Genomic DNA, 22,684 nt, shown 5'->3' with positions numbered 1-22,684 from the left:
GCATGGATGTTTAAAAGGAAAGTTCCATGTGTGAGAGAGTGTTCTTTTTTTTTTTTTTTGGAGGTGGGAGGGGAGATGGAGTCTTGGTCTGTCGTCCAGGCTGGAGTGTGGTGGCGTGATCTTGGCTCACTGCAGTGTCTGTCTCCCGGGTTCAAGCGATTCTCCTGCCTCAGGCTTCCAAGTAGCTGAGACTGTAGGTGCACACAACCATGCCAGGCTAATTTTTTGTATTTTTAGTAGAGACAGGGTTTCACCATGTTGGCCAGGCTGGTCTCGAACTCCTGACCTCAAGTGATCCACCCACTTTGGCCTCTCAAAGTGCTGGGATTACAGGTGTGAGCCACCGCGCCCAGCCTGAAAGAGCATTCTTAAATGGAATCTGTACACAACTTGATTTTGAAAAGTAAAGAACATACACACACACACACACCCCAAGTGGAATAGTAAAATCTGCATATATGAGGAAAAAAAGGCAAAATCTAAGTATATTATACCCATTGCATTTTTGGCTTTATTTTCTGTTCTCCCACCATCTCTCCCTAGATGTGGCACAATCACAGAAGTGGACAGTTTTTGGCATATGTCTGTTTTTCTTTATTGATTGCAGCTTTAATTTTATTATTATATTTGGTAGCACCTCAGGTTTTTGTTCCCAAGGATATGTTTTCTGTACCATGTTTATTCTTAGAGTCTTTTAGAACCCAGTATGTAATGCATTTTAAATTCTCATTATAAGATGTGCAAGGTTCAGAAAGTCCTTGTTCTAACAGGAATCAATTTTTATTTTTATTTTTTTTTAATTTTTAAATTTTTTTTTTTTTTTGAGATGGAGTCTCACTTTGTCACCCAGGCTGGACTGCAGTGGCGTGATCTCAGCTCACTGCAACCTGCACCTCCCAGGTTCAAGCGATTCTCCTGCCTCAGCCTCCTGAGTAGCTGGGATTACAGGTACGGGCCACCACGCCTGGCTAATTTTTTTTTTTTTTTTTTTTTTTGAGATGGAGCGTCACTCTGTCGCTAGGCTGGAGTGCAGTGGTGTGATCTCAGCTCACTGCAACCTCTGCCTTCTGGGTTCAAGCGATTCTCCTGCCCCAGCCTCCCAAGTAGCTGGGATTACAGGCATGTGCCACCATGCCCAGCTAATTTTTGTATTTTTAGTAGAGATGGGGTTTTGCCATGTTGGCCTGGCTGGTCTTGAACTCCTGACCTCAGGCGATCCACCCTCTTTGGCCTCCCAAAGTGCTAGGATTACAGGCGTGAGCCACCATGCCCAGCCAATTTTTTGTGTTTTTAGTAGAGACAGAGTTTCACCATGTTGGCCAGGCTGGTCTGGAACTCCTGACCTCAGGTGTTCCACCTGCCTTGGCCTCCCAGAGTGCTAGGATTACAGACATGAGCCACCACACCTGGCCAGGAATCAATTTTTTAAAATTAATTCTGTGGAATTATAGGAGGCAGAGTCAATTGGTTTGCTTTGTACTTAGTATTCCATACACTTTAATATCCAAAAAACAATAATTAGCTAAAAAACATTCCTTTAAAATTTTCATTTAGTGTTTTAAAAATAGAATTACCATCAGTCTTGGCAGTTTTGGTCACGAAAAAAGCATTCTCAGTTGTATGTTAGAAAGTTTCTGTTCTTTGGAACAATTTTGCACAAAAGAAATGATTAATAAAAGGTTGATATGACTTTATTAGCAGGAAGCTAGGAAACCTGGCAGTGCCAGCTGATGAGAAGTGGAAAGCGGTGTTTGACGAATGTTGGCGCCAACTGGGCTGTGAGGGCCCAGGCCAAGGGGAAGTTTGGAAAGCATGGGACAATATTGCTGTGGCCTTGACCACCAGTCGGCGCCAGCACAGAGACAGGTGAGTGAACACCTGCTCAACATACAGCAGAGCATGTTAGGAAGATGAAACTTAAGACCAGTAAGTAGTCAAGGCTCACCACATTTAATTTAAAAGTTAATGATTTACTTCGCTTCTGAGTAAGAGAGATTAAAACACACTTTCTTTATCTTCTGTTGAACTCAACTGTTAAACCTGAACAGAATACATGGACAGTTATTTATGAACTCTGAAAAGTAAATATCAACAAGTAGATTGAGGAAGAAAACCTGAATTCAAAGTACCACAAAACCAGTGGTGAGTTTACTTAGATGTTTTGCTCCAATATCCCTCAGCCAGAACTCAGTGCAGCCTGAAACGTGAAAGCAAGTACTGTGGTGCAGACAGACAGGGATACAGAAAAAATCCCTCTGGTTCTGGCTCAAGGAGTGACAAAGGGACTCCTAAAACTCAGAGTGGTTGATATATACTCAGTTTTCTTTCTGTCTTTTTTCTCTATTCTCTCATGCCCAAGCCTCCAGGACCTTCTGTGGCAGTAATGGTAGCAGCTGGAGCAGGCGTGAACAGGAAACTTGCAAAAGTCAAAACTCTTGAGAGAGTGGAATCTTCTTCCCCCTTTGGTGGCTCCTTAGCTCAAGGGAAGGCCAAGCCCCAACCCCATTGCATTTTTGGCTTTGTTCTCTGTTCTCCCACCATCTGTCCCTAGATGTGGCACAATCACGGAAGTGGGCAGTTTTTGGCCAGAGGACCTAAAAAGGGGTGCCTGCGAACCAGAAAATACTGGGGATGTGATGGAGAGAAGAGCTCTGGGAAACAAGCCCATAAAGTTGTTTGTGAACTCCTGGGCTCACCCTAGACCTGCACATGTATGAATTTGATCCTAATTAGTACCAAAGAGTTTGAGAACCAAGCTCATAGGTTGACCACTCAGGTCCCAGAGTAGTCATTAAGTTGTACACTCACAGAACAAACCCAGGAAGGATGCAAAGGCTTTGAGAAGTGAACTGGCATTGGCACCATGGCCCACAGGAGACTAAAGCAAAAATATCTGCTGTTTTAGGGATTCTCAATATCACTTACACATTCAGTGATTTGCTGGAAGAATTCACAAGACTCAGCATATAGTTGTACTCACAAGTAAGATTACAGCAACATGGTAGGGACGCACAACCAGATCATAAGGGAAAAAGACACAGGTAGAGTCTGGAGGAATCCATGTGTAAGCTTTCCATGATCTCTCCTTTCTGGGATGAGTCACACACAACACAGTTTTCCCTGCAGCAAAATGCAGCGACACGTGTCTCATGTTTCTGCCCAGGGAAGCCCACTAGAGACTCAGTGCCCAGGGTTTATACTGGGGGCGGGTCACATAGGCACCCTGTGCTTGGCAGTTGCCAAATTCCACAGTCCCAGCTTACAGGAAAGCAGATGTTCACCATAAATCACATTGTTAATCTAAGGAAAGCAAAACACCTTTGTCAGTATATGGAACTTTTACGAAGCTTAATTCCCAAGTGCCAGCCAAGGGTCAACCTTATAAGCAGGTTCTTTTTTATTTTATTTCATTTTTATAAATAGAGACAGGGTCTTGCTATATTATCCAGGCTGGTCTCGAACTCCTGTCCTCAAGAAATCCTCCTGCCTCGGTCTCACAAAGTGCTGGGATTGCAGGCGTGAGCTACCACACCTAGCTCAGGTGCTTCTAAAGATAGCAGTTTCAAGCCTGCTATGTTTACTGTTTTATGAATGTCAACATTCTCCATAGGATATAAACAAGACCCAGAGTTTTATAATGCTCAAAATATCCAAGACATTAACCAAAATTACTCAGCAATGAAAGAACCATGAAAATCTCAATTTATTTCAGGAAAGAGAATCAATAAATATCAACAGATGACATAGATGTTGAAGTTGTCTGACAAGAACTTCAAAGCAACTATTATAAAATACTCACATGTGCAATCACAAACACCCTTGAAATAAATATTAGAACAAATGTATCAGCAAAGAAACAGAAGATATAAAGAAGAGCCAAATCAAAATTTTGGGGTTGAAAACTGCACTAACCGAAATCACTTATTGTATGAACTCAGTGGCAGAATAGAGATGGCAATGGAAGAGTCAGTGAACCTGAAGATAGATCAGTATGGATTATCAAATCTAAACAACTGAGAGAAAAAACATGAAAAAATAAAAAAGTGAACACAGCCTCATGGACTTGTGGGTCTAAATTTGTTTCCTTAGAATTCCAGAAGAAAAGGAGAAAGAATGGGCTGGGCATGGTGGCATGCACCTGTAATCCCAGCACTTTGGGAGGCTGAGGCAGGCAGATCACCTGAGGTCAGGAGTTTGAGACCAGCCTGGCCAACAAAGTGAAACCCCATATCTACTAAAAATACAAAATTAGCCCGGGCCTGAATCCCAGCTACTTAGGAGGCTGAGGCAGGAGAATCGCTGGAACTCGGAAGGTGGAGGTTGCAGTGAGCCGAGATAGCGCCATTGCACTCCAGCCTGGGCAAAAATAGCAAAACTCCATCTCAAAAAAAAAAAAAAAAAAAAGAAAAGAAAAGGAGAAAGAATGAGGGATGGAACATTTTGTGAAGAAATAATGGTTGAAAACTTATCAAGTTTAGTAAAAAGACGTGAAACCCATAGATTCAAGTAGCTGAACAAACTCCATCTTGGGAAAAACCACAGATAACCATGTATAGACACATATTAAAATTCATGGACAAAGATCTTGAAAGCAGTTAGAGTGAAATAATGGGAAATCAGCAATTCAAATGACTGCATATTTCTCATTAGAAACCTTGGAAGCCAGAAGGAAGTGGCCCAACATTTTCAAAATACTGAAAGAAAAGTTACAGATGTACTTGTTCATTTCTCTCTTTTTCTCCTTTTTAAAATTTTCTTTTTCACCTTCTTTTCTTTTTTTTTTTCTTTTCTCCTGCTTTTCTCCATCTGCCTTTCTTCTTTAACTTGACCAGTAACTCCCACAAGCATTGCTTAGCATTTGGACCTAAAGAATTTACTAATCCCTGCAGCAAAACTTCCTAATTAACTGTGACTTTCTTGAGTTTAATTCTAGATAATGGTTTGTTTGAGCTGTGCCTTCGTTGTTAAAATATCAAGGAGCATACTTTAATCTGTGCGTGTAGCTACATACAGTTAATTTTTAAATGAGCTTTATGCTGGTCTTCATTTCCACATGTCAGTTGCTTTCTAAAGGGAATTGAAGAAAAATTGAGCAAGTATCCATTTATTCAGAATGTAAATGTTTGTTCTGAATAATTAAATGTTCTAGTTTGCTAAAAGTTACCAAATTCTTTAAATAAATTACCAGTATTCAAATAATTTTAATATACTAAAGTATAGTTACATAGAAATTAAATTCCAGAGGTTGAAAGATACTTCAGGAACTTTAAACATTTCACAGTCAAGTCTAACAAATACTAATTGTTATTCTAGCCTGGAGAGATTAGTTTAGAGTTTATCTAATTGAGTATCTCCAAAATTGATACTTAAAGTAAACCATAGTATAATTTTTGCTTGCTTGAAATTCGTGTATGTGTTTCAAGAAATTAAATGTAGAAAGAAGTAATTTTTTTTTCTATATTTGGGATAAATAGGAATTGATTTTAGTATTTCATTCATGAAGTTCATAATTGTTACCTTCTACTCTATCAGTAGAAGAAATGGAAACTCCCAGAATTGATGAAAGCCATTGACTGCCCCTTGTGCGTGATACAGATGGTCAGCTTAGTACAGCCTGTCAGTTCGACCTTAAGACTTTAGCCCTTCAGTTAACCTGGGTTAACTGTTGTTAGTTAGGTGTTTCTGAGAAGTGAAAATGAATGAACTCTTTATATAAAATTATGTTGCTACCACAAAGATCTTATATGTTTATCTAAAATCTCTAATAATAATGATTATGCACAGTTTTCAGTTTCTCATTGGTTGTCATCTAATGATAGAACACTATTACCAAAAATTTCAGTTGATTACTAGCGTGTGTTTTCTCTTAGTATCTTCATCCAGTTTCTGTTTACCCGTTATGTGCTTACATTGTCACCTGTTGGAGTGTCATTATCTCCTTGCTTCTTAACCTTGTTTTCATTTCTTCCTTTGCCCTTTGACTTATTTCCCTTTTTCCTTAACTCCCTTCCCTCTTTTATTCCTTTTATTCCATTTTTCTGTTGTCACCAACGGGTCTATCACCTTCAAGCTAATATTGTATTTATCTTCAAGCTAATGTCATATTATTTCCAACACCATGGTTTAGATTGGAGTAGAATCTTCATTAATTTATTGTAGAATCTTCATTGTAGAATGAAGAATGAATCTTTATTGTAGAATCTTCATTAATTTATGGTACAAAGTAACACTACCTGATTTTTTGAATGAATGTTATGTAAACTGAGTACCTAATAGCAGGATCGTGATGATTTCTGAGTTCGTTGGGTTTAGTACTACGTTGGATGCTCCACTTTGACTGGAGCTAGTGATTGTGTTTCATGTGAGTATTTACACGTATCTTGCTTTCTTGATGTGAAATACAACAGACTTTTCTTTCCCTTTTTATAGTCCAGAAATACTGAGTCGTTCACAGACTCAGACACTAGAGAGTTTGGAATTCATTCCACAGCATGTTGGTGCCTTCTCTGTGGAGAAATATGATGACATCAGGAAATATTTAATAAAGGTAAACTAGAGTAAAAATTACATTGGTCTTGTGAATTAATGATTCACCTACCACAATATATCATTCAGATAGACTCACAGCTTAATGTTATTCTAATCCTGTTTTTGCATCCTGTGCATTTCTTTTGTTAATTATCAAACTACCAAGATTACATTTCTACCTAAAGATTGTCCCATTATTATGATAGAACTTTTTAAAGTTTTTTAAGGCACTCAAGGGGGTTCTTAAGAAATAAGATTAGAGTTTTAAATTGCTTTTTGTTAATAACATTAGCAAACTAGAGATTGTGTAAGTAAAGCATGCTGCCCTCACCCCTGGAGAGGGTCTTTGCTTCCTTCGAAAACTTGTAAGACCAGCTACAATTTAAAGTGTGATGTATATTGATGGGAAGTGCAGGAAGGAGTATTCTGAGAAGTCAGGGGAACTGAAGGATGACTGTTTCAGAGTATCATCAACAGTCAGTGTTTAGTTTTCTCCAAGGTAACATTTTCTATCATTTTTGTGAAGTTTAAAGTATATTTGAATCTTTTTAAAATTTTGTATTCTTTTTTTTTTTTAGATATGGGGGTTCTCACTGTGTTGCTCAGGCTGGCCTCAAACTCCTGAGCTCAATTGATCCTCCTGCCTCAGCCTCCCTAGTAGCTGGGACTATAGGCATGAGCCACCACATCCAGCAGAATCTTTCTTTTAGTGGTATTCCATATCAGTACTTCCAAAGCTATTTGCCCAAAATGTTAAGGAGATTCTTTGATCAAGATTAGGAACTCCAGCTTCATATAATTGGGGTAGACAGTACTTTCAAAAAAATTAAAGTATTTGAATATTCCTGGTCCCAAAATTGACTCTTGACATTTTGACAATTGTGTGTCATTTATGAAGTTGTTTCTTGTTGATGGATTGTTTCTGCTGTTAATGCACATCAACTGACTTCATTGATTCTTTTCCTACTCAGGCCTGTGACACTCCTCTGCACCCCCTGGGCAGGCTTGTGGAGACACTGGTTGCAGTGTATAGAATGACATACGTGGGCGTAGGAGCCAACCGCAGGTTATTGCAGGAGGCTGTAAAGGAGATTAAGTCCTATCTTAAGCGAATTTTCCAGCTGGTGAGGTAAGAGAGCTTTTCACTAAAGTCTGCGGGCTATGGAATACTATTTTATACCAGTGCTTGGGTAGTTTCACCCTGAATCATCAAGAAAATAGTTTTATGCCACAGTCCTTTAATAGATTAAGTAAAACATGTTTTAAATGTATGTGTAAGCTATAAACATAAAAAAGATGAACCTTAGCTATTGTTATTTATTTATTTTTATGTCTTATTAAGTAAAGCTAAAATAAATGTTTGGGGTTTTTAAATCTAATTTTGGTATGAAGTATAGTAGTCGTCTTATTTAGATTCAGTCTCTAGGCAAAATCATGTATCTAAAACCCAACCACAGAGTAGACAAAGTTTAATATGAAGTTTTGCCCTTGAGTTTTTGTGTCTTGTCCTTTGGCAACAGTATCACATATGTTCATTTATTTAACAAATATTTATGGAGCGTTTCTATGTAATAGCCATCATTCTAGGCTCTCAAGGGATTTATCAGTGAACAAAGACAAACAGTCTTTGCTGTCATGGAGCTTACATTCTAATGGGGGAAAAGAGTAAACATAAAAAATATATGTAGTATGTCAGATAGTGATTAGCACTATGGAGAAAAATAAAGGGAAAGAGTACTAGATGTGAGATGCTATTATTTTGAAGAGAAGGTCAGAGCAGACTGACTAATACGGTGGTAGTATTTGAGCAGAGACTCGAAGAAGGCAATTAAATGAGACAGTAAGCATCTTTGGGAAGAGAGTTCCAGGCAACAAACAGATTTAAGCTTGTGAGATATAAGATCTTTTACTGAGTTGAAGCCAACAAGTAAATACTATAGTGAGATAATTATACAAAAGTTTGTAAATTTGTCCCAGAACTTCCATATATTGTTTGCCTCAACATTGGAAATGTTTCAGGTTTTGAGGGAGAAGTGTGGTCTATTAAAAAGATCACTAGCCTGGGCTAGCTCTGACATTAGCTAGATGAGTATAATGAAAGTAAGTGTCCTGACCTTTTTTAGTTTTTTTCAACTATACAATTAGGGCAGATGGAGGTGCAAGATGTAAGTCTACAAAAATAGAGAAGACTGCATATTGCCTTTAAAGGGTCAAAATTTAAGTCCGTAAAAATAAGAGAAAATAAACTTATTTATGGTAGAGTACACTAGCATACAAGAAGTCAGAGATAAAATCTATGGCAGAACTCAAAGCCCAGGAAAAAAAATTCCTCACCAATTTATCCCCTTGATCATTTGAAAAATTAATTTTCAGCAAGTTTTAAAAACACATTTTTAAATTTTAGGTTGAGTACAGAGGGAAATAATAGACACTGAGGACTCTAAAAGCGGGGAGTGTGTGTGGGAGGGTGAGGGTTGAAAACTTACTGATAGGATACAGTGTTCACTGTTCAGGTGATGGGTACACCAGAAGCCCAGACTTTACCACTACCTGATATATCCGTGCAACACAACTACATATGTGCCTCCTGAATCTATAAAAATAAAATAAAACTTTACATTGTGTCTTCTATAATTAATCATTTTTTCCCTTAATGTTGGACACTTAATTTCTGTCGGTGTTTGCTTATATTGTAGAAGAGTGGTCCTTGCTCAGAGTTAATATAAATTGACCTCAGATGAGATTTGCCAGTAAGGAACACATATCTCATATAGATCAGAATTCTCCATTCCTTGGTAACTAGACAGGAGAAAATCATAGCACGTGAAGATTTTGTAGTGGTATTATTCATTAGCTGCATTCTTAATTTTATCCTGTTAGAAACATCAGTTTTCTCAGGGAACTAAAATACTTAGTTGATAATAAAGCTTGCTCTCATAACTAATGGAAATGTGTTTTTATGCTTTTCAACCCCCCTAGAGGTATAATTGTATAATTATATTTTTTATTCTTCCTTAGGTTCTTATTTCCTGAGCTGCCTGAAGAAGGCAGCACAATTCCTCTCTCTGCTCCTCTGCCAACCGAAAGGAAGTCTTTTTGCACTGGGAAGTCAGATTCCCGATCTGAATCACCAGAGCCAGGGTAAATGGAGTTGGGTGGGGACAGTGAAGAAAGGGAATGGTGACTAGATGATCTTACTCAAAGAGTCCCAGCGAGAAAGTGTGTTCTCTAGATCTATTTCCTCATTTCTAAAATGATATGGTTGGGGCCAGGAGGGTTGGGGCCAGCCACAGTGGCTCACACCTGTAATCCCACACTTTGGGAGGCTGAGGTGGGAGGATTGCTTGATCTTAGGAGTTCAAGAGCAGCCTGGGCAAGATAGGGAGACCCCATCTCTACAAAAATAAAAAAAATTAGCAGGGCATGGTGGCACACACCTACGGGTTCAGCTACGTGGGAGGCTGAGATGAGAGGATCACTTGGGCCTGGGAGGTTAAAGGCTGCAGTGAGCTGTGACTGCACCATTGCGCTCCAGCCTGGGTGACAAAGTGAGACCTGTCTCAAAAAAAAAAAAAATGTAGCTGGGTAGGTGCCCCCTCTGAGGTCCCTCTTAGTTCTCTCAAGTACTATTAGCCATACCCCAGGAAAAAGCAACCACAGATGATCTGAGCACAAAGGCTGCTTAGCAAAGGAAGTAACATCACACTGTCCTAGAATAACCTCAGAGAAATCAGCCTCAAAATGGAAACAATGTAGGTTTTCAGTGAGATTTTTAATTCATGAAAAGAATTCACAGTTTCCTCTAAGACAAAATTATAGATAATGTCCTCATATCAACTCCATATGTAAAGAGCAGAGTAATATTATAACTTCTTTAAAACTTCCCATCTCTACTTTTGACTTTTTGAAACTGAAGCTCTACCTTGGATTCTGTATTCAATTTTAATATGAAAAATGCTCCTTTTCTCCCACTCCATTATTTTGTAGTTATGTAGTAACGAGTTCTGGATTATTGCTTCCTGTGCTGCTACCTCGGCTCTACCCACCGCTGTTTATGCTTTATGCTTTGGATAATGATCGCGAGGAAGACATTTACTGGGAATGTGTCCTTCGACTAAATAAGCAGCCAGATATTGCTCTCCTGGGCTTTCTTGGGGTGCAGAGGTAAGTGTAGTAGTTACAAGCGCAACCAAATGGTTTTAATTTAAAATGCAAACTGCATTATTGGAAATTTGGCACTTTGATATCTAATTATATATATGGCTTGTAATTATTTTTTGCATATGTCTTCTTTAACAAAATAGTGATAGTTAATAATCTTTATTTCTGAGAATATTTGGAGATGAGTATGAAACCTGCTGATTCTTTGGAATGTGTTTTTTATTATGTTTTCATATATATAGTAATATATATTTATTATATATTAGTAATGTATTTTATATATTATGTATAGTTATATATATATATATATATAAAGTGTGAGCTATTTTGCCTGGTATTTTATAGCTCTTTAGAGCAGAATACATATCTTTGGCATTCTTCCTTCTCTTCTTTTCTCTCCTCCCTCTCCATTTGCAATTTTTAAGTTAAAGGTTTTGAAGTGTTTTTTTTTTTTTCTTTTTTTGAAAGAGAGTTTCACTCTGTCATGCAGGCAGGAGTGCGATGGTGCAATCTCAGCTCACTGCAACCTCCACCTCCCAAGTTCAAGCAATTCTCATGCCCCACCCTCCCAAGTAGCTGGGATTACAGGCGCACGGCACCATGCTCAGCTAATTTTTGTATTTTTAGTATAGATGGAGTTTTGCCATGTTGGCCAGGCTGGTCTCGAACTCTTTGCCTCAAGTGATCTGCTCGCCTCGGCCTCCCAACGTGCTGGGATTACAGGTGTGAGCCACTGTGCCCAGCCCTGCTGTTTTTATTAGAAGGTATTATTGCTTGCTATCCAGGGAATACTAAATTATTATGTTTTCTTTCTAGGGCAGTGATAAAGCTGATTCCACCTCCCCAATCTCTATTTGTGCTACCAGGAAAAGTGAATAAGCCTCAATTTTTTTTTTTTTTGAGACGGAGTCTTGCTTTGTTGCCCTGGCTGGAGTGCAGTGGCACCATCTTGGCTAGCTGCAACCTCCACCTCCCAGGTTCAAGTGATTCTCGTGCCTCAGCCTCCCAGCTAGCTGGGATTACAGGCCTGTGTCAACGCACCCAGCTAATTTTTATATTTTCTTATTTTTGTGCTTTTTTTTTATTTTGTGCTTTAATTGTTTTCAGTGGAATAATTCAGTAGTAGAAATGAGATAAAACTGAGTGAAGGAAAAATATTTGGTAATATCTGTAACGTGTAGGTTATTGGGATATAGAATGACAAATCCCTTAGGGAGATGATAAAAACTCTTAAATCACTTCTGGAATGTTTATAAAAACTTAACCTATTGTGGAGCAGTTCTTTTTAATGGGGACAAGGAAGCCAATATAGCTGTCAACTATTTTTATGGGATTTTGTTTACCATAAGTAACAACTTATATTAATAATTTATGGATTCCATTATAGGAAATTTTGGCCAGCAACCTTGTCAATCCTTGGAGAGAGTAAAAAGGTATAGTAGATTTTCTTTTCCTCAGCAAATATGCTTTTCTCTAATGGGAAGGATTTGAGATAGCAAAACTTTTTCATTTTACTTTGATAGAACAGTACCCAAGCTTGTGTTTGCATCTGTTATTACCAAAGACCTGCACTCTGACATCAGTATCATTTATTTCTGTTGTTGCAGAAAATAGTTTTCCTCCTTGACCTTCACTCTCTTTTTTGCAGGTTTTGCCAACCACGAAAGATGCTTGTTTTGCCTCAGCAGTAGAATGTCTGCAGCAGATCAGGTAATCTCTGATTTGTTGAAAAGCCATACAAATCAAAGTAGTGCTTGGTCTATTAAGATATTATTAATATGATCTTATCTTTACCTAAGCCTTAAGCATCCCCATTCTATATGCTGATGGTGTCAAACTCAATCTGGAAATCAGAAATCAGAATGAGACCCTTGGGTTATCTTTTACTCTAAAATGACCTTGCATTTTCAAAAGTAGGAGAGAGCCAAGCCAGAAATTTATCCATATAATCACATCTTTAGCCAATTGGAAATTAACCAAATTTCTCATTCAGAAAAGAGCATATATTAGGAGAATGAGATTTCACGTGGGTAAAAGGAAACAATATATGAATCGTAGACAGTTGGAGGCTACTTTTCTCATAGCACCATGGGAGTACAAAGTCATCCTTTCCAACGACTCATAATGCCTAAGTGTCCGGGTTAAGGCATGTGAATCCCAGGAGGGAATATTGTCAAAAAAGCACGATCAAATGGCTTTATTAAGAAAATTATAGGATGTCTTTTTGTCATTGTTTCTGTAACAGCACAACATTTACCCCATCAGACAAACTTAAGGTCATCCAGCAGACTTTTGAGGAGATCTCTCAGAGTGTCCTGGCGTCACTCCACGAAGACTTCTTGTGGTCCATGGATGACTTGTTTCCTGTTTTCTTATATGTGGTGCTACGGGCCAGGTAACTGTTTTATGACTTTGTTATTAGTGAGTCGTTATTTTTAAAAGTCTGCTGCTTGCATTTTCTGAACTGACAGCAGGAGTACGCTCTTCCACTAGAAAAAAATCGATTAACCCATTCCACTGTGACATTACCCTTTTATTGAGCTGTTCTTTCTTTTTCCCATCAACTAGATTCAAAAGGAGAATGGACATGTAAGTGAAAATAACTCAGCATCTTTTTCTCTCTGGGGCAGGATTAGGAATTTAGGCTCTGAGGTACACCTCATTGAGGATCTAATGGACCCCTATCTTCAGCATGGGGAACAGGGTATAATGTTCACCACCTTGAAGGTGAGTATAGTTATTATTTAATACTTTCTTATCTTCATATCTGTCTTTCATTTACCATATTATAAATGCCATTAACCACTTTTTTTGTATAAAAGTTTAATGCAAACCTTAAATGCCTTTAGAGCACATTTTGTTCTACACTTTAAAACATTATATAGTATATTAAAGTAGGATAAGCCAGTTGTTCCTCAAAATACTAAAGCAAATTCTTCATTATCTAATCCTCCTTGTAAATTGATCAAACTGTTATAAATGTTTACATTTATATAAATAATTGTAATTCTAAAAAAGAAACAGAAAGGATTCTTAGTGTCCAAGAAAGTTTCCAACAGGAGTGCTATTCAATGGAACAGGGTAAAACACAGAAGGCAGTATGTAAATAATGAATTTGAATTCCATCTTCTTTCTTTGCCTTGTATTTACTGTAACCAATAGATTACAAATGAGCTTCTTTGATCTGGGTGGCCTGGAGAGATTGTTAGAAGTCATTTGTTTCCTGCCTTGATTTTTCTTGGAATTTGGAAGAATCACTCTAAAGTTTATTGAAAAAACAGCAGATAGAAAGTGCAAAAACACTTGTGAAAAATGAGAAAGAATAGACCTACTCTTCCAGTTAGTAAAATTTATAAAATTACAATAATGAAGATAAAATAGTATGTGACTGTCACAGGAATACACAATTACCTAAATAGAAAGGATAGCTCCCATATAAACACATCATAATAAAAACTTCACATGAAAGTGGAAACACCAAACCAAAATGGAAAAGAGGAATTATTTAACAAATGGTAAAACAAAGTATTGGATAGCTTATTAGCAGTTTTGGAGGGAGGGTAGAATAGCAAATTATATAGATGCTTTGGGGTTTAAATATAGAGAAAGGAAGAGAGAAGGAAAGACAGGTAAATTAAAATAAGAAAAATAATTAGAATTCAATGTCAGGTTTCTGGCCTAGGTTAACTATTTAAACTTTTCAACTAAAATACCATTAATGCTTCTTTTTTTTGAGACAGAGTCTCACTCTGTCGCCCAGGCTGGAGTGCAGTGGTGCAATCTCGACTCACTGCAACCTCCACTTCCCAGGTTCAAGTGATTCTGCTGCCTCAGCCTCCCAAGTAGTTGGGATTACAAGTGCCTGCCACCACACCTGGCTAATTTTTGTATTTTTATTAGAGATGGGGTTTCACCAGGTTGGCCAGGCTGGTCACGAACTCCTGACCTCAGATGATCCACCCGCCTTGGCCTCCCAAAACGCTGGGATTACAGGCGTGAGCCACTGCACCTGGCCTACCATTAACACTTCTATTAAATAAACTGAAAAGGGGGAGAAACTGGGGAAAATATTGGCCACAGATGACTTAGATTATTAGTGTTTATGTTATTTGAAGAGTATCTCTAAACAGATCACCAAAGAAGAAACTGAACTAGTAAGTTTACATGTAGAAAAATACTCAACCTCACTGAAAATCGTAGTACTGCAGATTTAAATAAGGTACCATTTTGTGCTGTTAAATTATCAAGAATATTTTAAAATTACTGATGGGGTTATAGTGAAGTCATTATTATTCCCACATTGCTGATAATGGGGTAAGTAGCCATTACCCTTTTGGAAAGCAATTGTTACTAACATAGATATCAACAACATCAAAAAATGTGGAGTTTGACTCAATGGTTCTACTCCTGGGGATTTATCCTAAGAAACTAAAGAATGGAAAATGTTACATGTTATCTGGATGTGTTATTCATTGGGGTATGAGTAATTCCCATACCTGGAAACTCATAATTCAGGGTGCTTCTTAAAAATGCATTCTTGGAAGTTATGACTCCCCAGGTCTGCAATGATGCTTAATCTGTATATTTATTAATCATACTAGGTGATTCTAATTAGAGTTGTACCTTTTAATGATTGGTATACTCTAAATGTCCAATCAGTAATGGCAAATTGTGGTGTCTCTGCATGTGAAGAATATTAGCTAGCTTGTAAAAAAACTTTGTTTTAGAATAAGACGGGAAATGAAAAAATTTTGTCTATACTAATTACAAGTAGGCAAAAGACAGCCACTAGATAGGGGAACTAGAAGGGAACAGGGAAAAGTGAAATCAATTAAATCTGTTGGGCCATCAGCTGAATTTGTTCATAAGGGATTTTGTTTCTTTAGTCCCATATGCATTGCTCTCTTTATGTAATTTCTTTAAAAGTGAATTTGAAATTATTTTGAACTTTTCTTCCAGGCATGTTACTACCAGATTCAGCGTGAGAAGCTTAACTAGGCTGCATAACAGCTTGAAAACTGGATTATCTACTACAGAGTGTTATAACACCATCTGGAGTCTTCCTGTAGTGGCAAAAAAGAACAGTGTTGAAATTGGAAAGGACTTTGTGTTATTTAGGTTGTTAGAATGAGCCTTACCAATAATAAGAGCCCTGAGCCCAGAAAAAAGGACTGTATAGTTTAAAGGGAGGATTGAAAGGGAGGTAAAAAATCAGATTAGACCAGTTCTTGGCCTATGATAAGTTCCAAAAATACCATTTATCTACTATTTGAAAAAAGAAGAGGATATCCCTTCCTACAGTAAAGGGTATGTCAGCTACATGAAGTTGTAAGAAAAGCTTCCAGTAGAGCTTCTTATATTAAAGAAGTTGATGGATATTTTTGAATTTCTGGTTTGCCTGAATCCACCTGCAGTTACCCCGATCCGTTTGCAAGAACCAGATCGTACTTGAAACTATAGTGGCCACACTCTGCCTTCCTGAGTCCCTTCCAGTCATGTGTGCATCATGTCTCTTTGCCAAGGGAGGGGAGAAAGGAACTTTTAAACTGCAGTTTTAACTTTTTCTAAGCTGTTTCTTGATGGGAGAGGTTCTGTGCAAAACTACCACATTCTGTCCCCAAAATGTGGAATGCATCCAAATAGGAGTCTTCTGCCTCTTAACTTAAAAGAACATAGGAATTTTGTTTTTGGTTTCTTTATCATGCTACAGAGAGTGAATACACTGGAATTCAGACACCGACTCTGAGCTGCTAGGAACCTCATTTGTCCATGTGCAAACGCTGTATTCCAAGGCCTGTGAATGGCAGCCTGAGGAAGTTTTGCATGCAGGCTGTGTTTTCGAGCAGGACTAACAACTGGGAAATAAGCAAAAAACTGCATCGATCCCCAGCCTGGTGTTGTTCTTCCCTATACTTCACACTGAACTCAGGATGGGAAGAAAAAGGAAACAAGCTTTGGCTTTTTCCATCTCAAAAGTATTGTGGCACCTCAACATTTCAGTGTTTTGCTTTTTAAAAAATGCCCTATTGTAAGTTGTTGGTTTATACTGTATAAGTAACACTAGTAGCTGTTTTGAATAACATAGGTGCTCTTCCTCATCTCATCTCCTACACCGTGGTGAGCATACAGAGTGTCCTGATTTGTGTTAAGTGACTGAGAAGATGTTAATTACTTTTGAAAAAGGATCATGGTTTTTGCTCTACTTTATAATCAAGACAAGTGTTTATTAAAATACTGTTTTGGAATGTTGGCTGTAATGTAACAGCAATTTTCATAATAAAAGGCATTCATCTTTATGTGGTTGTTTTATGATTGTAGAAGAAATGAACAGGGCAGCCTAAAAGATGAAAGGAAACCCAGACTTAGTATTTCTTTAGCCCACATTGTAATCCATGCCTCTAAGTATTGGCCTCAAAAGTCCCTCTGGGGTTTTAGAAATCTCTGTCTTTAAAATAAACGTAAACCAATAGTTATAGCACCCTTTCTAGCAAAGAGCAAATTAACTTTCTGACCCCAATAACCCAAGGACACGGGTCTCCAAAGAAATCTATTATTTCTTTGAATAAAAAGCATATTTTGATAGTTACTCGTTATTTTTTTTCCTCCTAAACAGATCGAGGGAAGGGAAGGTGAGGCTTTAAAATTCTGCTTAGAAACGTTAGATATTAATTATCTCCCAGTTGTAATGTTTTCTCAAGAGGCCTTTCCATCTTGTTGCTGCCTCTACCAGAATGTGCCTGTCCTCTGTTGGAAGGGGACCAACCCTTAAAAATCCGTTTATGTTAAATACTTTGCATTTACATTGGAGATTGTTTTGAGTTTCTGAACAAACACATAAATAACCACATTTGCCTGGTAAAGCCAAATTTACAGAATTTCTGACTCTGGGCGGGGGTGGATAATATGTGGAAATGGACAAACAAAAACTTTGAGACAAATTGACCCATTGAGAAGATTTCCAATGATGATAGGCTGTCTCTGTTCTAAGAAAAGCCATGTTACAATTCGTCCTTTTACTGGAGTCTTGAATGAAACTGTTCAGTTACTTTGGATTCTTCCTACTATATGCTTTTCAGATAGCATATTAAAGTTATAAATTTTGAAGTGTATTGGAAGAAAAACCCTAAATCTCCAGGCCAATGTTTGTAAATAGAAGTCCTTGGCACTCCTGCAGCAGTTTACAATGGTCATTCACATGCGTAATGAATGCTTACAGCAGCCCAAGGATGCAGGTGTTATCCCCATTTCCCCCCATTTTTCAGACAAGCAGTGACCAAGATTTGCTCACTGCCAGAGCTGGGACTCCAGCCTAGAACTTCCCTACTCCCTACTTCCCTAGAAGTCCAGTGCTTTTTGCTACTACAGCTGCCAGAGATGTCATTTCATAGCTGGTTATGTATTGAAAGTTCTTAAAAGTGAGTTAAAAATGAAAATCTTATTGAAATCAAGTGCTTTTCACAAAATATGCTGTACTCAAAACACAAATGTATCACATTCCCAACTTGTGTTTTCATCTATGATGGAGAGATAAGGAAAGCCATGTGATTAATATGGGTAGAAGGGCTGAGGACCCTCTGATAATTGCCATTTGGTCTCTACCTTTTGCCTTGCTGTCAGCAATACCTTCCTCTCCTTTCTGCAATATCCCCTTCCAAATGCTCTCCCCACTGAGCACTCCCTGCAGTATTAAGTTTTCAGATAAAGAAGTAGCTCCTATCTGAGACAGAAAGCACTATTTGTTAGGTTCAGAACAGTGGCTTGGGAGGGGATTGACCAGAAGGTACTGTTTTTGATGGGTTTCTATTATTAGCTGAACAGTCTTCAGTTGTTTTCTCACCATAACATGAGAGATTTAATAAGGTTAGTAGGTTATTGGCTTATTTCCGGTCCTGCCACATTTTTTTCTTTCATTAAAAATGCTATCTTCTGTTGTGGAATGTCTGTCATCTTGAACTAATCAACAAAAATACTATGTTTTTCTGCCGTTAACTATGTGTTGGCAATTTGAGAGAAAATACTAGAATGTAGGTTTGAAAATGATACAAATTAGACTTCAAGGAATACTTAAGAAGATTTGTGGCAGGAAAGGCTTGTGAGTAATTTAGTTGTTAGGCTGGGTTAGGCATCTGTGGATTACATCAAAGAGGATGTGCAGAGATTTTATCGGGAGCAGTGAGGTGACTTTGGCAGCTAACAGGCCACTAGTATCCTACTAAAGCTTTTGTCTGGATAGGAGCAACATGCATGTTTACAGTCTTGCAGGTAAGAGACCTTGGCAAATAATCCTCAGTTACCAGAAGATGTATCCATAACTGCCTAGCTTGCCTGTCAGTTTTTAATAGCTAAAGATATAAATCTGGGTAATCTAACTCAAATGGCTTAGTTTCATTTTAACTCAAATGATATGGGGAATTTTATGATCTTGAAAGAGCAGGTTTTGCTTCGAGAAGCCATTTCTTCAGTATGGAATAATGAGTTGTCAGGAAGATTGAGTACAATGGGCATTTGCCCTGGTCCTAATCAACAGCATTTGGACCCAGAGGAAGCCAGCTATTTTTGTAAGGGCCATTTCTCATCATTAAGTTTCCAAGTGCTTTTTTAGGGTTTGTCTAGTAAAAAGCACTATTTTGAAAAACAAGCATAGTAAGGGTAGGGGGTTGTGGCATTTAATAGTACGTTTTAAAAAGCTAATGGAAATACTTTTAAAACAAGATTTAGGACAAATTCCTTAGGCATCAGTCACACTAATGCATCTTCTGAGTCAAGAACTGGCTATCCTTTCTGTGTACTCAGTCCGGAATTGCATGTGGTGGGTGCTTACTTATTTGCAGTCTCAATCAAGAATTCTCACTCTCAAGATAGCAGAAATAGATAAGCTTCAACTGACAAATTTGGTACAGAAGTCATGGAAAGGAAGGTAAGTCTTTTGCCAGGCATCATGCCAGGCATCAGCATCTTTCAGGACTAAGGAAACAAAAGAGGAAAACTCGATTTTACTACATGTTAACTCTACTGAATACCTCCTTGAATGTCAGATTCCTTATCTGTAAAACAAAGGTTTTGCATTTGATTATCTCTAAGATCCGCTTCTGCCCCCAGTTTTAAAGTTTGATAGGGAAAGAGGTTTAAGTCAGGATACCAGGCCAGGGAGGAAAGGAAGGGAGGGCACAGGCCTCTGGAGTTCAGCTGCCTCCCCCATTAGGATTGAAGTCCCAGCTGCTGGCTACTGCCTTGAGGGAGGTATCAGCCTTTTACTTCTGGATCTTGGCCTCTCCTTGTTCTACCCCTTCCCAACAACAACTGAACATACCAAGTGCTTGCTATGGCCCAAGCACTGTTGCAGGTGAAGCTGCAGCATGAACAAGATAAGCAACATCTCTGCTCCCCAGGCCCTCTGCAGACATGACACCTGCGGGAGACAGACACTGAGCAAGCCAGTGGATACAAGAACTGGGAAAATGAGAAGTGCTATGAGGGCAAGAAGTTGCAACTGTTTTCTTAGCTACCTGGAGGGAGGGAAAATCATTTTCTGGAAGTTTTTTTCTATGAGTTTTGTCTTAGCTTTGGCTGTCATAACAAAGTACCATAGACAGTGGCTTAAACAACAGAAATGTATTTTCTCATACAGTTCTGGAGGCTGGAAGTTGAAGATTGGGATGCCAGCATGGTTGGGTTCTTGCGAGGGTTCTCTTCCTGGCTTTCAGATGGCCGCGTTTTCACTGTGCCATCATCTGGCAGGGAGAGAGAGAACACATGAACTCTGATGGCTCTTACCCAGACGCTAATGACATCTTGAGGCCTCTACCTCATGACCTTAACCCAGTTACCTCCCAAAGGCCCCATCTTCAAATGCCATCAACAATGGGGATTAGGGCTTCAACATCTGAATTGGGGGTGGGGACACAACATTCAGTCCACCATAAATTTGTCATAGGAACCTGAAGATGAGGAGCCAAGCACAGTTTTTAGAATTTGCATAAGTTGTAGATTACTGTAATTATTGTTTTTGCCTCTATGGCTGAGAAACTTTGGGTCAAAACGAGCCTTTTAGAATGTATGAATTAGTTATCTAGGTAGCCCTGAAGTTGGCTCTAGATTTATTAGAAGCTATTTTAACCATTGCATTCACTCAAGAAACCACCGCCTATCTGTGAAGCACAGTCTATCTGTAAAGCTCCCTCACAATAAATTCATCTCAGAAATATGTAGTCTCTAGTGTGTGCCCCCAACTGCTGAATGGGTAGGCCTAGCTCAGCACAGTCATTCGGGCATTAAATATGGCAGAAATGTGGTCCACCTCATGACGTGCAAACAACAGTTGGCTTGTTTAATCTGCACTGCTTTGCCAAGGACGTGTGATTTGTGAGGTGCTGGAGGGGAACCAATTTTAAGAGTCAGCCTGAGTGTCAGCCTCATCTGTCTGCTCTGACTTTTGTCTGCTCTCTAGCAGGCACTCCATCTCCCTTTTCAATTTTCTACCCTGGAAGTGCTCCCCTCCAGGGAGGAAGATGAGTCAGATATGCAGCTGTGATGCTAAATGATTCAATAGAGTCAAAAACAACACAGAACACAGGAAAACGCATTGTTTAATCTGACTCAATTACAAGTGGGCAAGGTAGGTGATGGAGGGCAAGTCAAAAGCATAACGATGTCAAGCTTTGGTAGAACCTAGCAAACCGGAAGACTTCAGGGTGTTTGGAAAGGAATGTGTAGGGGAAAGTTGTCTAAAATGCTGTAACAGCTTTCTGTGTTGCTCTTCTCACTGCCTTAGAATTTAGAGTCAAAATAATAATGATCTTTTCTTCTTTTAGATAGCCTTCCTGGCTTCAACCCACAATCAGTCTAGATTCTAGACAGTGGTTCTCAACCCTATCAGAGTCAATACTCCAGTCTTTAACAACTAATTTGAAGTGTTCCTTTTATAACAAAAACCTTAATGTATTCTTTATTGTCCTACTATAACAATGTTGTTGGTCCCTACCCCCACCGCATACCCCTTGGTTGTTACCATTTTGGTGCACTCTGAGCCCACTCCAGCTGCTAGCCCCTCCACTTCCTATCCGAAGGTATACATGTTGCATGCTGGAAGAGTCAGAAATAATGCTCTCTGGGAAGAGCTCTTAACCTGTTGGCTCTAACAGGGGCCAAGAGAGTGAGGGTATTTATATACCAAGGTTGCCATTGGTGTATAAAAACCCTCATGTTGCCATTGGTGTGTAAATACTCTCACTCCCTTGGCCCCTGTTCCCCCGTGGGATTAAGCTCTAGTTGCCTACAGTGGTTACTTCTTGATGACAACCTATTACTGGCTTTTTCACCTTCCCTGCCTCAATACCCTACTCCCCATTGTATATTAAACCAGTGCAAAAGTGTCTTGTGTTTATATGTAAAGAAAAGTTGGCGTCTGGATTCAGATAACTACAGGTTTTATTGTTTTTCAGTGACATGATAGTTCAGTGGGACATTTGAAAGCTATACAGGGCATGAGGCGATTCTTCACTGTGTAGGGCAACTTGTGGAAAACTTTGCTTAAAGAGCAGTAGGCATATTTTCTTTGCCCGTGTTTTCTTAATCCCTTCCTCCCCTACCCTGTTGGCCGAAATGTAGGCGTGATGACTGGAGCTGCAGCTGCCATCTTGGAGCAGGTAGACAGAACCATGCTACACCCTAGGGTGACAGAGCAGTAGCCGGAAGGAACCTATTCCCTGAGGACTTCGTGGAGCAAGGCTGCCCTATTAGCCCTGGATTCTCTCTGTCTCTGAACTTTCACACGAACAAGATATAAACTACTCTGCTAAGCCAAAATTATTCTGGGTTTCTACTTCTTGAAACTAAATCTACCTAAAGCAATACCAAAAATAAACATTAAAATAAGCATTTCAAACTAGTTTTCAAAGACTGGTATTAAATCTGATAGGGTTAAGAAAACTGTCTAGGCCAGGTGCGATGGCTCACACCTATTATCCCAGTGCTTAGAGAAGCCAAGGTGGGAAGA

At 38.8% G+C, this 22,684-nt stretch overlaps 2 protein-coding genes across 10 annotated transcripts in view, besides 2 other annotated features; both read left to right on the top strand.

The window, feature by feature from the left end:
• The window catches only part of ALS2 (alsin Rho guanine nucleotide exchange factor ALS2), an 80,667-nt gene extending 63,396 nt beyond the window's left edge, over positions 1–17,271 (top strand). For 5 of the 8 annotated variants that reach the window (NM_020919.4, XM_006712654.4, XM_047445224.1 and 2 more), the window contains 10 exons: positions 1,699–1,866; positions 6,430–6,547; positions 7,500–7,657; positions 9,547–9,669; positions 10,516–10,692; positions 12,077–12,122; positions 12,338–12,399; positions 12,935–13,084; positions 13,320–13,416; positions 15,649–17,271. In NM_020919.4, the coding sequence (NP_065970.2) occupies positions 1,699–1,866; positions 6,430–6,547; positions 7,500–7,657; positions 9,547–9,669; positions 10,516–10,692; positions 12,077–12,122; positions 12,338–12,399; positions 12,935–13,084; positions 13,320–13,416; positions 15,649–15,687 (1,138 nt within the window). In that variant the 3' untranslated portion in view covers positions 15,688–17,271. Of the gene's footprint in view, positions 1–1,698; positions 1,867–2,359; positions 4,054–6,429; positions 6,548–7,499; positions 7,658–9,546; positions 9,670–10,515; positions 10,693–12,076; positions 12,123–12,337; positions 12,400–12,934; positions 13,085–13,319; positions 13,417–15,648 lie in introns of those variants that run through there. The other 3 variants (NM_001410975.1, XM_047445238.1, XM_017004570.3) reach the window with 3 other exon arrangements.
• Positions 17,263–17,762: an enhancer, noted in NCBI's record as "OCT4-NANOG-H3K4me1 hESC enhancer chr2:202564499-202564998 (GRCh37/hg19 assembly coordinates)". NCBI's record gives its function as "activates a minimal SCP1, AML or CMV promoter by ChIP-STARR-seq in primed H9 embryonic stem cells {active_cell/tissue: H9 hESC(primed)}" and the evidence as "EXISTENCE:reporter gene assay evidence [ECO:0000049][PMID:30033119]".
• Positions 17,763–18,264: an enhancer, noted in NCBI's record as "OCT4-NANOG-H3K4me1 hESC enhancer chr2:202563997-202564498 (GRCh37/hg19 assembly coordinates)". NCBI's record gives its function as "activates a minimal SCP1, AML or CMV promoter by ChIP-STARR-seq in primed H9 embryonic stem cells {active_cell/tissue: H9 hESC(primed)}" and the evidence as "EXISTENCE:reporter gene assay evidence [ECO:0000049][PMID:30033119]".
• The window catches only part of MPP4 (MAGUK p55 scaffold protein 4), a 53,771-nt gene continuing 49,980 nt past the window's right edge, over positions 18,894–22,684 (top strand). For both annotated transcript variants that reach the window (NM_001438024.1, NM_033066.3), the window contains exon 1: positions 18,894–18,951. The gene's annotated coding sequence lies outside the window, so the exon portion shown is untranslated. The remainder of the gene's footprint in view (positions 18,952–22,684) is intronic.

The sequence above is a fragment of the Homo sapiens genome, chromosome 2, assembly GCF_000001405.40.
Source record: "Homo sapiens chromosome 2, GRCh38.p14 Primary Assembly".
In the NCBI taxonomy this organism is placed as follows: domain Eukaryota; kingdom Metazoa; phylum Chordata; class Mammalia; order Primates; family Hominidae; genus Homo; species Homo sapiens.
The sequence above is the reverse complement of the archived record's forward strand: the minus strand, read 5'-3'. Positions and strand labels throughout refer to the sequence as shown.